We start from the raw sequence: 12,913 nt of genomic DNA, 5'->3' as shown, positions 1-12,913 counted from the left end.
TTCATGTTCATGCGTAGGAAAATTCAACATTGTTGTCAGTTCTCCCCAACTTGATCTATAGATGCAATATAATCCCAATAAAAATCTTAGCAAGTTATTTTTTTGGATGCTGACATATTGATTCTAAAGTGTATATGGTAAGGCAAAAGACCCAGAATAGACAACATAACACTGAAAAAGTACAAAGTTGAAGAACTGACACTACTCAACTTCAAGACTTACTGTAAAGCTACTACAATCAAGTGTGATATTGTCAAAAGAACAGACAAATTGATCAGTGGAACAGAATAAATAGCCCAGAAATGGACCCACACAAATATAATCAGCTGATCTTTGACAAAGACACAAAGGCAATTTAATGGAAGAAGAATAATATTTTCAGCAAATGGTGATGGAATAACTGGACATTCATATGTTTAAAAAAAAAAATGAATCCAGGCCAGGTGTAATGGCTCATGCCTGTAATCCCAGCACTTTGGGAGGCCAAGGCGGGAGGATTGTTTGAGCCCAGGAGTTCAAGACCAGCCTGGGCAACATAGAGATTTTGAGACTACTAAAAATTAAAAAAAAAAAAATAGCTGGGTGTGGTGATGCATGCCTGTGATCTCAGCTATTCTGGAGGCTGAGGTGGGAGGATTGCTTGAGCACAGGAGGTCAAAGCTTCAGTGAGCCATGATCATACCACTGCACTCCAGTCTGGATGACAGAGTAAGACTCTGTCTCAAAAAAAAAAAAAATTCAGACATAGTCCTTACACCTTTCAAAAAATCATCTCAGAGTGGATCTTAAACCTAAATGTATAATGCAAAACTACAAAACTTCTAGAAGATAACATATGAGAAAATCTAGGTGACCTTAGGTCTGGTGATGAGTTTTTAGATACAACCCTAAAAGCACAATTGATGAAAAAAAAAAAATGATAAGCTGGACTCTGTTAAAATTGAAAACTTCTGCTCTGTGAAAGACATTTAAGAGAATGAAAAGAAAACCCACAGACCAGGAGAAAATATTTGCAAAAGGCATGTATCTGATAAAAGACTTGCATCTGAAAATACCAAAAGAACTTTTAAAACTCAATAAGGAAACAACCCAATTTAATAATGGACAAAAGATATGAGCAAACACCTCATCAAAGAAGATATACAGATGGCAAATAAGCATATAAAAAGATTCTAAATGTCATATGTCAGTTGGGAATTTAAAATTAAAACAATAAGATCCACTAACACCTATTAGAATGGCTATTTTTTAAAAAACTGCCAATACCAAATGCTGATGAGGATGCAAAGCAATAGGAAATGCTCTTCCATTGCTGGTGGGAATGCAAACGATATAACCACTTTGGAAGATGGTATGGCAGTTTCTTACAAAGCTGATCATAGTCTTGTCGTCCGAACCAGCGATCATGTTCCTAGGTATGTACCCAACTGAGTTGAAAATTATGTTCACATAGAAGCCTACATATGAATGTTTAGAGCTGCACTATTCATTATCACCAAAACTGGAGGCCACCAAGATGTCCTTCAATAGGAGAATGGATGAACAAACTACAGTACATTGATCGGTGGAATATTGTTCAGAGATAGAAAGAAATGAGGTCATCAGCAAAGCCTGAGTCCTTTCCTCTCACTCTCCTCCCCGGACAGCATGAGCTTCACCACTCGTTCCACCTTCTCCTCCAACTACTGGTCCCTGGGCTCTGTCCAGCCACCCAGCTACGGCGCCTGGCTGGTCAGCAGTGTGGCCAGTGTCTATGCAGGTGCCGGGGGCTCTGGTTCCTGGATCTCTGTGTCCTGCTCCACCAGCTTCCAGGGTGGCATGGGGTCTGGGGGCCTGGCATGGGGATGGCTGGGGGTCTGGCCAGAATGAGAGGCATCCAGAACGAGAAAGAGATCATGCAAAGCCTGAACGACCTCCTGGCCTCCTACCTGGACAGTGAGGAGCCTGGAGACTGATAACAGGAAGCTGGAGAGCAAAATCCGGGAGCACCTGGAGAAGAAGGGACCCCAGGTCAGAGACTGGAGCCATTACTTCAAGACCATTGAGGACATGAGCGCTCAGATCTTCGCAAATACTGTGGACAATGCCCACATTGTGCAGATCGACAGTGCCCATCTTGCTGCCAATGACTTTAGAGTCAACTATGAGACAGAGCTGGCCATGCGCTAGTCTGTAGAGAGCGACATCCGTGGGCTCCACAAGGTCATTGATGACACCAGTGTCACTCGGCTGTAGCTGGAGACAGAGATCGAGGCTCTCGAGGAGCTGCTCTTCATGAAGAAGAACCACGAAGAGGAAGTAAAAGACCTACAAGCCCAGATTACCAGCTCTGGGTTGACCATGGAGGTACATGTCCCCAAATCTTAGGACGTTGATAAGATCATGGCAGACATCTGGGCCCAATATGATTAGCTGCCTCAGAAGAGCCGAGAGGAGCCAGACAAGTACTGCTCTCAGCAGATGGAGGAGAGCACCACAGTGGTCACCATGCAGTCTGCCAAGGTTGGAGCTGCTGAGATGATGCTCATGAAACTGAGACGTACAGTCCAGTCCTTGGAGATTGACCTGGACTCCATGAGAAATCTGAAGGTCAGCTTGGGAAACAGCCTGAGGGAGGTGGAGGCCCACTACACCCTGCAGATGGAGCAGCTCAATGGGATCCTGCTGCACCTGGAATCAGAGCTGGCACAGACCCAGGCAGAGGGACAGTGCCAGGCCCAGGAGTACAAGGCCCTGCTGAACATCAAGCTCAAGCTGGAGGCTGAGATCACCACCTACCACTGCCTGCTGGAAGATGGCAAGGACTTCAATCTTGGTGATGCCCTGGACAGCAGCAACTCCATGCAAATCATCCAAAAGAACACTACCCACTGGATAGTGGATGGCAAAGTGGTGTCTGAGAATAATGACACCAAAGTTCTGAGACATTAAGCCAGCAGAAGCAGGGTACCCTTTGGGGAGCAGGAGGCCAATAAAAAGTTCAGAGGTTAAAAAAAAAAAAAAGAAATGAACTATCAAACCTTGAAAACACATGGAGGAAGCTTAAATGTATATTGCTAGTTGAAAGAGCCAATATGAAAAGGCTTCATAATATATGATTCCTGTAAGAGTGAAAGAAAGGAAAGAAACACGAAAAGTGGCTCGGCAGTCAAAGACAGTTTTACTTTGGAGAATAAACCTGAGAGGGGTTTCTGGCCGATTTGGGTCAGAAGCGCTCTCTCTTACAGACTAAGACTATTTATTTTAGGGTAAGAGAACTTACCACAAGCTTGGAATGTTTCTGTTTGGGGAAGAAGTTTTGGTGGTGTTGGAATGTCTCTGGTCAGAGAGGCAGTTATCCTGGGGCTAACATCTCTCTGGCCAGAGGGGAGGTTATCTCAGGGCTGGCATGTCTCTGGTCAGGGAGGGGTTTTGAATGTTTCTAGTTGGAGATGTTATTTGTGGCTTATGGTCATGCTCACCTTAGCCATTAGGCTGATGCCCTTTGGATTTAGGTGGTTTTTGATCAAGGTGAACTTTAGAATGGCAGTGCTTGTCCAACAAGATGGCAATGCTCCTGCTCTGTCAATTCCAACTCTGTGATATTTTGGAAAAGGCAAAATTGTAGAGATAGTAAGTAAAAAGGGGGTTGGAGCCAGGCACGGTGGCTCACGCCTATAATACCGGCACTTTGGGAGGCCAAGGCGGGTGGATCACAAGGTCAGGAGTTCGAGACCAGCCTGGCTAACATGGCGAAACCCTGTTTCTACTAAAGATACAAAAAATTAGCCAGGCATGGTGGTGCGTGCCTGTAATCCCAGCTACTTGGGAGGCTGAGGCAGGAGAATTGCTTGAACCTGGGAAGGGGAGGTTGCAGTGAGCCAAGATTGTGCCACTGCATTCCAGCCTGGGCGACAGGGCAAGACTCCGTCTCAAAAAAAAAAAAAAAAAAAAAGGAAAGAAAAGGGAGTTGGAGGGAGGAAGGGGTGGGATGAAGAGGTGAAATACAGGATATTTAGAGTAGTGAAGCTATTCTATATGATATATAATTGTAGATGTATGTCCTTATGCATTTGTCAAAACCCATAGAAGTATCTATACAATAGAAGAGTAAACTTTAATGTAAACTATATAGTTAATAATAATGTGTCAGTATTGGCTCATTAATTATAACAAATGCACCACACTAATGTAAGATGTTAATAATAGGGAAAGCTGTAGGGGCAGAGGTAGGATTAGGGTCGAGGTAGGTATATTGAACTCTGTGTGCTGTCTGCTCAATAATTCTGTAAATCTTAAACTGTCCTAAAAATCTATTAATTATTTTAAAAATTGTTGACTTAAGACAACACTGATGTTAAACTGATAGCAATGTCCTATCTGAGAGGTGAGGGAATTCCAGCTACCTCTGTGTGCTTTGCCCATTACCCTGGGTTTCAATAGTAATCAGGCTTATTAGTGGGATTCTGAATTAGGGCTCTTGGTAACTTTAGTTCTTAGAAATTTTAGTTTACAAAGCCAGCTTTGTGAAACCCTCAATAACTCACTTTTCTGATAAGTAGTCTATGTAGTCCTTGATTGTTAGTAAAAATGGCTCTCAGTAGAAATGCATATGACTTTCTCATAACAATCAAAGAGGGCACTTGGCATTTTGAACTACATCTGTGACCCACTGAGGGACTTTCCCCTTAACCACGTGTCATAAGCCATATCCAGTAATCACTGTTCCGGACAAGCAAGAACGGGGGAATGGGAGTTCTGCTCATTCTAACAGAATTCTAATTATAGCACTGAGGGTATTCCCTCCAGCAACTGTTGATTTGGTTCATTAATGGAACTTGGTCAAACCCAAGCCTCAGGGCAATGACCCCATCCTGGCACTCCATGTCTTCCATTTTGCTTCTGCAGCCCAATCTCTTTGTAACTGATGAATATTATGAAAAAATGCCAATTTTCAGTAACCCTGCCTCCCCTGTCTTTTGTGCCGTGTCCACAGAATGCCCTCCTATCCACATTGGGCTTCCAGTACCCACTTACCCTCAAAGAAAAACTGACCAGAAGGGACATCTTTCAGGCCTGCAAAAAGTCCACTGGGGCCTGCGGCCAGACCAGCCACAGCAGGAACTGACTGGCCCAGGGAGTGGGGCAAGCAGCCAGGACAGCAGCATGGATCTTATCAGCAGGACTCGTGAGTTCCTTGAGGGGTACATTCTGGGGAGCCATCCTGCTGGTGTGTCCAGATGGGACCCAGCAGGGCAGGGGGGATTTTCTGGAGAATGTGGGTAACGCTCCACATGGCTCAGCCTAACCTCTCTGGCCCCCTCTGCTCTGCTTCCATTGTTGGCCAACCTTCCTGCTCACTGACACTTTTGGTCAGACTGACACCCTGTCTTTCTCTGGGGACTTTGAGACCTCGACTCTGATCCATTCTATGTTGATTTCATGGTTTGATTCTCAGAATTATTTCCCTCATTTCCAAATTCCAAGGACCATACGGTCATTGCCCTAAGAACCAATAATGGACATGCGGCCGGGCGCGGTGGCTCACGCCTGTAATCCCAGCACTTTGGGAGGCCGAGGTGGGCGGATCACGAGGTCAGGAGATCGAGACCATCCCGGCTAAAACGGTGAAACCCCGTCTCTACTAAAAATACAAAAAATTAGCCGGGCGTAGTGGCGGGTGCCTGTAGTCCCAGCTACTTGGGAGGCTGAGGCAGGAGAATGGCGTGAACCCGGGAGGCGGAGCTTGCAGTGAGCCGAGATCCCGCCACTGCACTCCAGCCTGGGCGACAGAGCGAGACTCCGTCTCAAAAAAAAAAAAAAAATAATAATAATGGACATGCTTGTTTTGTATGAGGCATTGTGCTCAGTAAATTGAAGTTCTTGTTACATTAGCTCCACCCTCTCTCCTCACTGGAGCTGAAAGACCTGGTACAGAATTGTGTAGTCACCCTGCACGGTAGCTTGCAAGACACCTAGGAAGCTTTCTTCCAGGACAACAAAGCCCCCAGGCCTTCCTCTGCTCCTTCAGAAAATAGTTCTGGGCTAATTAAAAATCAGTCTTTTGCTCTTTCCTATGGAAAGAAAATGATCAATCTTAAGAGGAGTAAAAAGGACTGGAATCCTTAGAGCACAAATGTGACATTTTACTGTGACTTTACTGATGTTTCTGGGGACGTGATTTCACTCTCAGCATATCCCAAACCTGCCTAATAAACAGTATGAATTTGGTTTCTACTATATATAGCTCACTGTCTTGAGTGTGGAAAAGTTGGTTTATTATACCATCTATACCTTCCAAGGAGTGTCAGAGGCAGTGACTGCATCTTAGTATCCTGGCAGGAGACCTGATGCACCTGCTCTCACAGGCCATGGGAGCTACCCCCAACCCTGCAGAGCCCTCTACAACCCCCATCATTGGCATTAGGTTGACCAGGGCCTGTGGCTTTTACAGAGTAAATGTGCCTTTGTAGGAGATGGGGTAATGGTAAATCCTTTGGAGGAGTCCAGTGTAAGAGATGGGCTATAGTTAAAATACAACACACACACACACACACACGCACACACACACCACATGCACAGGCATACACAGACACACACCACACACACACAAAAAAACACTTCCACATGCACACACACACACACACACACACACACACAGTCCTGCTCAGGAGTGGGAACATCAGAGACCAAGAGGAAAGCAAGCCTGCTGGGAAGACCTCTTGCCCCCGTGTGGGTTCTGGATGCCTCACACATACTGACATGGTCTCTGAGATGTTCCCCTGTCACCTCACCACCTCTCCTACATTCAGGATTGAGGTCGTCCTTGGAAGGTGGAGTCTGCTGGGTCCTTCCTGAGCCAGAGAAGAAGAAAGCAGTTTAGATTTGGTGCCCTCTGCTCAAAGAGTTTAGAAGAGGTGACATAGAACATCACAGAAGTAGTTATAGATGGTGGATTTGACATTGCTTTGGTGGTGTCTTGTTCAGTTAAGTGGACACTGATTTTAAATGCAAACCAAAGGAAAAAGAATGTAGAACGCTTTGGCATATATATATTTTTGAGACGCAGTCTCATTCTGTTGCCCAGGCTAGAGTTAAGTGGCGCGATCTCGGCTCACTACAACCTCTGCCTCCCAGGTTCAAGTGATTCTCGTGCCTCAGCCTCGCGAGTAGCTGGGATTACAGGCACGTACCACCACGCCCAGCTAATTTTTGTATTTTTAGTAGAAACAGGGTTTCACCATGTTGGGCAGGCTGGTCTCGAACTCCTGACATCAAGTGATCTACCTGCTTCAGCCTCCCAAAGTGCTGGGATTACAGGCATGAGCCACCACGTCCAGCCCTTTTGGCATATTTGTACCAAATATATTGGTGCATTTCCTTCACCGTCTGCTCTTCCTATACTATGTGTGTGTGTTACTGGCTTGTTCCCGACAGGGCTGTGGAGTAGGAAAGGGAGAATGGGAGAGCCTAGGAGGACAGGGAATTGTAGGCCATGTCTCATAAGCTGGAGTAAAGTAAAAACCCCTTTTAAAGGGAAAATAAAGTCTTGTGTACCCATGAAAATGCATTTGTATATTTGTAGGGCCCCAGGAAGCCACATATTCCAATTTGAGAAATAATCTAACTAATTAGGGTTTTATTCCATAAAAATATCTTCCAATTATGAATTATAACCCAAATTTTGCTGTTCCATCTAATAAAAGGAATATTTTTAAGATTATCAAAATGGAAGCAAAATTTAAAAGTTCAAGTAAAACCTTTCTACCCCTGAGAATACATTCCAGACCCCAGTTCCAGACACTCCGGTTTAAGGAAGCCACAAAGCCTGGTAACAAAGTCACCAACCACAGTGATTTTTCTGCAGCCCATGGGCATTGAGTTGGTTTCTGCTGTTCTTCACGGAGTGGAAGTCTCAACCCTCAGTCTTTCACTTCTAAGCAAAATGGGCATTGTATGTGTGATACAGATATAAACCTTGCTCTTGCCACATCTCAGGGATAGTGCCAATGCCCTGCAGAAGTCAAAATAAAACAGCGCCAGAATCATTTTACCTGCCTCATCTGGATAATTGTCTGAATCTCCCACTTCTCTTTGCTGTAGGACACCTGACCACATATGTTTTTCCTCTCTGAGTGTCCTGTCTGTTCTGTAAATCCATCCAGACACCTAGGCAGGGGGCCCAGCTGGTCTGGCTGCATAGCCCAGCAGGAACTCCCACTTCAGAGAACAGGGGCATCCTGCAGAGTATGAGGGGCCTGGGCCAGGCAGGGTGGCTAGATGTGTCTGGGCCTGAGGGTCAGGCACACTATGCAGATGGAGGATTGAGCAGAGACCCCTTCAGTTCCTGCCTTACAGAATAATGGCAAAGATCCAATAAGACAGTATATGTGAAGGGGCTTGGTACCTGTGAAAGCCCCCTGAGAATGATAGTTCAATATCATTTTTAACTAAATGTATAATATTAATAATCATAACTATAAAGTTGAAACAAAGGCCAGGTAGCTGACTTTTATTCCTTCCACAGAGACCCACGAGGGTGGCTTTAATATATGCTGCAAGGTTCCTAACCTCCAGGACAGTTTTGAAATACACAATCCAGCTGCCTGACGTGTTAGATGTGAATGGGGCTTGGGTGTCTGTACTTTTCTATTAAGTTCCAGTGTACCTGGTTAAAAAATACACTATCCTAAAGAAATTTGATGCTTCCTTGAACCACATTTAGCTTACAGAACCCTGTGAAGTCCCTGCTTTAACTCTAGTTGAGGCCCAAGTAACTGCTGGTCCTCATTCCCACAGCAGGTCAGGGGCAGGAAAGAGGCCAGCCCAGGCATCCTTGTCCTTCTTGTACTGGCTCCATGCGCTACATGGAAAGCAGCCCCTTGCTGCAAAGTTGCTCTCTGGATCATGTCAGAGCTCCTTGGAGAAAATATCTTGCACCTGGAGATGACAGACCCACAAACAGATAAGCATAAATTGGTGGGAGGTGCGTTGATGGAGGTCTGCACAGGAAACTATAGGAGGAGAAACAGGAGCACATAGGCCTAGGTGGTGAGTGGTGGCAGAGGGGGCAGCACAGGCTTCCTGGAGCAGGTGACACCTGTCATGAGTCTTAAATGATAGGTAAAAATTAGCTAGAAAAGGCAGCTGGGAGAATTAAGGAAAAGGAAATTCATACATTTCTCTTTTCTAGCTTTATTGAAGTATAATTGACAAAATTATACATGTTTAAGGTATAAAACATGATTTGATATACATACACATTGTGAGATGATTACCACAATCAAATTGGTTAACACCTTCATCACCACTCATAGTTACCTTTGTGCGAGTGTATGGTAAGAACACTTAAGATCTCTCTAAGCAAATTTCAAGTATGCAATACAGTATTATTAACTATAGTCACCATGCAGTACATTAGATCCCTGGAATATTTTTATCTTTGACCAACATCTCCCCATCTTCCACATCCGACCCCTGGTAAACACTGTTCTGCCCTCTGTTTCTATGAGTTCAACTTTTTCAGATTCCACATATAAATGAGAACATGCAATAGTTCTGGCTTATTTCACTTAGCGTCATGCCCTCCCGGTTCTTCCATGTTGAAACAAATGGCAGAATTTCCTTCTTTTTTATGGCTGAATAATATTCCATTGTATATATTTGTATATGCCACATTTTCTTTATCCCTTCATCTGTCAGTGGACATGCAGGTTGTTTCTGTTTTGGCTATTGTGAATAATGCTGCAGTGAACATGGGCACGTGGGTATCTTTTCAAGATACTGATTTGGCTTCCTTTGGGTGTATACCCAGAGATGGGGTTGTTGGATCATATACTAGTTCTACTTTTATGTTTTGAGGAACTTCCATATTATTTTCCATAATGGCTGTACCAATTTACATTCCCACCAACAGTGCACAAGTGTTCCCTTTTCTCCACTTTCTTGCCCATACTAGTTATCTTTTGCTTTTTGTAGCCATTCTAACAGGTATGGGGTGACATCTCACTATGGTTTTGGTTTTAATTTGCATTTCCCTGATGATTAGTGATGGTGAGCACTTTTTCATATACCTATTGGCTATTTCTTTGTTGTATTAGTCCATTCTCACGCTGCTAACAAAGACATAACTGAGACTGGGTAATTTATAAAGAAAAAGAGGCTTGATGGACTCACAGTTCCACATGGTTGGGGAGGGCTCACAATCACGGCAGAAGGTGAAGGAGGAGCAAAGGCATGTTTTACATGGCAGCACGCAAGAGAGAATGTGCAGGGGAACTGCTCTTTATAAAACCATCAGGTCTCATGAAATTTATTTATTTATTGAGATGGAGTTTCGCTCTTATTGCCCAGGATGGAGTGCAATGGCGCAATCTCAGCTCACCGCAACCTCTGCCTCCCGGGTTCAAGCAATTCTCCTGTCTCAGCCTCCCGAGTATCTGGGATTACATGCATGCACCACCACACCCAGCTAATTTTTGTGTTTTTAGTAGAGATGGGGTTTCTCCATGTTGGTCAGGCTGGTCTTGAACTCCCAGCCTCAGGTGATCTGCCTTCCTCGGCCTCCCAAAGTGCTGGGATTACAGGCATGAGCCACTGCGCCTGGCGAGATTTATTCACTATCATGAGAACATGGGAAAAACCCACCCTCATGATTAAATTACCTGCCACCAGGTCCCTCCCATGACACATGGGGATTATAGGAGCTACAATTCAAGATGAGATTTGGGTGGTGACACAGCCAAACCATATCATATGTCTTCTTTAGAAAAACATCTATTCAGATCCTTGGCCTTTTTTTAAGGGTCTCACTGTGTTGCCCAGGCTGGACTTGAACTCCTGGTATCAAGCTATCCTCTTGCCTCAGCTTCCTGAGGCACTGGGACAACAGGCACATGCCACTGTATCTGGCTTCCTTTGCCCATTTAAAAATAGGATTTTTTTCTTTTTGCTATTGAGTTGTATGAGTTCCTTATATATTTTGGGTATGAAGCCCTTATCAGATATATGGCTTGCAAATCTTTTCTCCCATTCTGTGGGTTGCCTTTTCATTTTGTTGATTGTTTCCTTTGCCATGCAGAAGCCTTTTCATATGATATTGTTGCACTAGTTTATTTTTGCTTTTGTTACCTGTGCTTTTGGTGCCATATCCAAAAGAAATCACTGCCAAGACCAATGTTAAACAACTTTTCTCCTGTTTTCCTTTAGCACTTTTATGTTTTGAGGTCTTACATTTAAGCCTTTAATCCATTTCAAGTTAATTTTTTGTCAGTGGCATAAGATGGGGTCCAATTTTATTCTTCTGCACGTGGATATCCAGTCTTCTCAACACCATTTATTGGAGAGACTAATCTTTTCACCTTGTGTATTCTTACCACTCTTGTCAGATACTAGTTGACCATGTATGTGTGCATGTTTCTGTGCTTTCTATTATATTCCCTTGGTCCACGTGCCTGTCTTAATGCCAGTACCATACTGTTTAGATTACTATAGCTTTGTAATATAGCTTGAAATCTGGAATTACATCTTCTCAATTAATCCTCACACCAACAGTAAAAGGGAGATATTATTATCCCCATCTTCAGATTGTGAAACTAAGATTCAAAGAGATGTAGCATAATGCAGATGTTAATCAGTGAATGTGGGAAATAAAAACAGATCTATTGACTCCAAAGACTGTGCTTGCCCTTTCACTACATTGCTTTCCTTTATAAGATGTCATTGGTCAGTCACCATATTGGACCCTGGCTGATAATGATGTCCTTTCAAGTAGCCAAATTGCCTCATGTTGAAAGGAATAGATAGGTAGGAAATAATAGGCCATAGCAGTTGGTTTATTTATTTTCTCTCTCTCCCTCCTTACCACACCTTCCCCCAATGTGAATATATTAATAATTTAGGAAGTCAATACTTAGTAGCCAATCAATTTTGACTGAAGCAGAACTCATATGATGAATAGAATCATCAAGCTGTGGTGAAAGTCAGTAGGAGCCAGGGTTTCTACCCTGGGGGGAAAAAATGTGTTTTCTGGCTGTGAAAACCTCTTGAGAGGCCATTAGGAGAAAGAGGATTAGAAGCAGCTTTAGAAATGTGGTTGCACTTCCACTTTTCTAGGCTGCTAATAAGAACTGGAGCCAGTTTAAGAGAAACAAGGTCAGTCAAGCCCAACTGGGGTGTGTAGACCCTGGAGTCTCAGTATTCTCATCTGGAGAGTGAAAGATTGTTGCAGGGTGGCCAATTGTTTCAGTCTGCCCAGGACTGAGACTTGTCCCAGGATGAGGGAGGAAGGACTTTCAGTGCTAAAACCAGATCGGTCCTAGGCAAACTGCATGGTTGTTCATGCCAGATTGCTACGAGTTGTTAAATGAGAGATAAATAGATATTAGATACCTCACATGGTGCATGGTGCATGGTAGGCACTTAACATATAGTTGGTTCACTTTATACACATTAACCCAATTTAAGAGCACCACGCCCAAATCTTTTTCCTCTAAAGTGGGCATTTGTTTGATTTGGCTGCCCTCGTTGGTACTGAGAAGCTTATGAGATCCTTCTGATGGAAGGAGTGTGAAAAATATTCAAGCCTTCATCTATTTGCCAGGTATTGAGCAGCGCTGGGATCACCAAAAGATCAAAATTACCCTAAGATGAGAAGTAAAGGAGAGAAAGGCTTTCTATTAAGACACTGGAACCTCACAAGGTTCCAAAGCCTTAGGACCAAAGACATGTTTCATGTTGTCTTTCTTTTCTGATAAGAAAGGAGCCAAGGGTTAGGATAGAAAATAAGTTTATCTCTAAAACATCTCCTGCACTAAGGAGTCCCTGAGGCAGGCCACGTTTCAAACATGGGAGCAAAGACAACTGGCTTTCTTTTTTTTTTTTTTTTTTTTGAGACAGAGTCTTGCTCCGTCACCCAAGCTGGAGGGCAGTGGCA

General features: G+C 43.8%; 1 protein-coding gene and 1 pseudogene across 2 annotated transcripts in view; both read left to right on the top strand.

The window, feature by feature from the left end:
* Positions 1–12,913, top strand: part of SLC4A5 (solute carrier family 4 member 5) — a 127,175-nt gene that overhangs the window by 33,761 nt on the left and 80,501 nt on the right. For both annotated transcript variants that reach the window (NM_133478.3, NM_021196.3), the window contains one exon: positions 4,976–5,167. In NM_133478.3, the coding sequence (NP_597812.1) occupies positions 4,976–5,167 (192 nt within the window). The remainder of the gene's footprint in view (positions 1–4,975; positions 5,168–12,913) is intronic.
* Positions 1,598–2,986, top strand: KRT18P26 (keratin 18 pseudogene 26; annotated as a pseudogene).

The sequence above is a fragment of the Homo sapiens genome, chromosome 2, assembly GCF_000001405.40.
Source record: "Homo sapiens chromosome 2, GRCh38.p14 Primary Assembly".
In the NCBI taxonomy this organism is placed as follows: Eukaryota; Metazoa; Chordata; class Mammalia; order Primates; family Hominidae; genus Homo; species Homo sapiens.
This window is presented reverse-complemented; position numbering and strand designations above follow the sequence as displayed.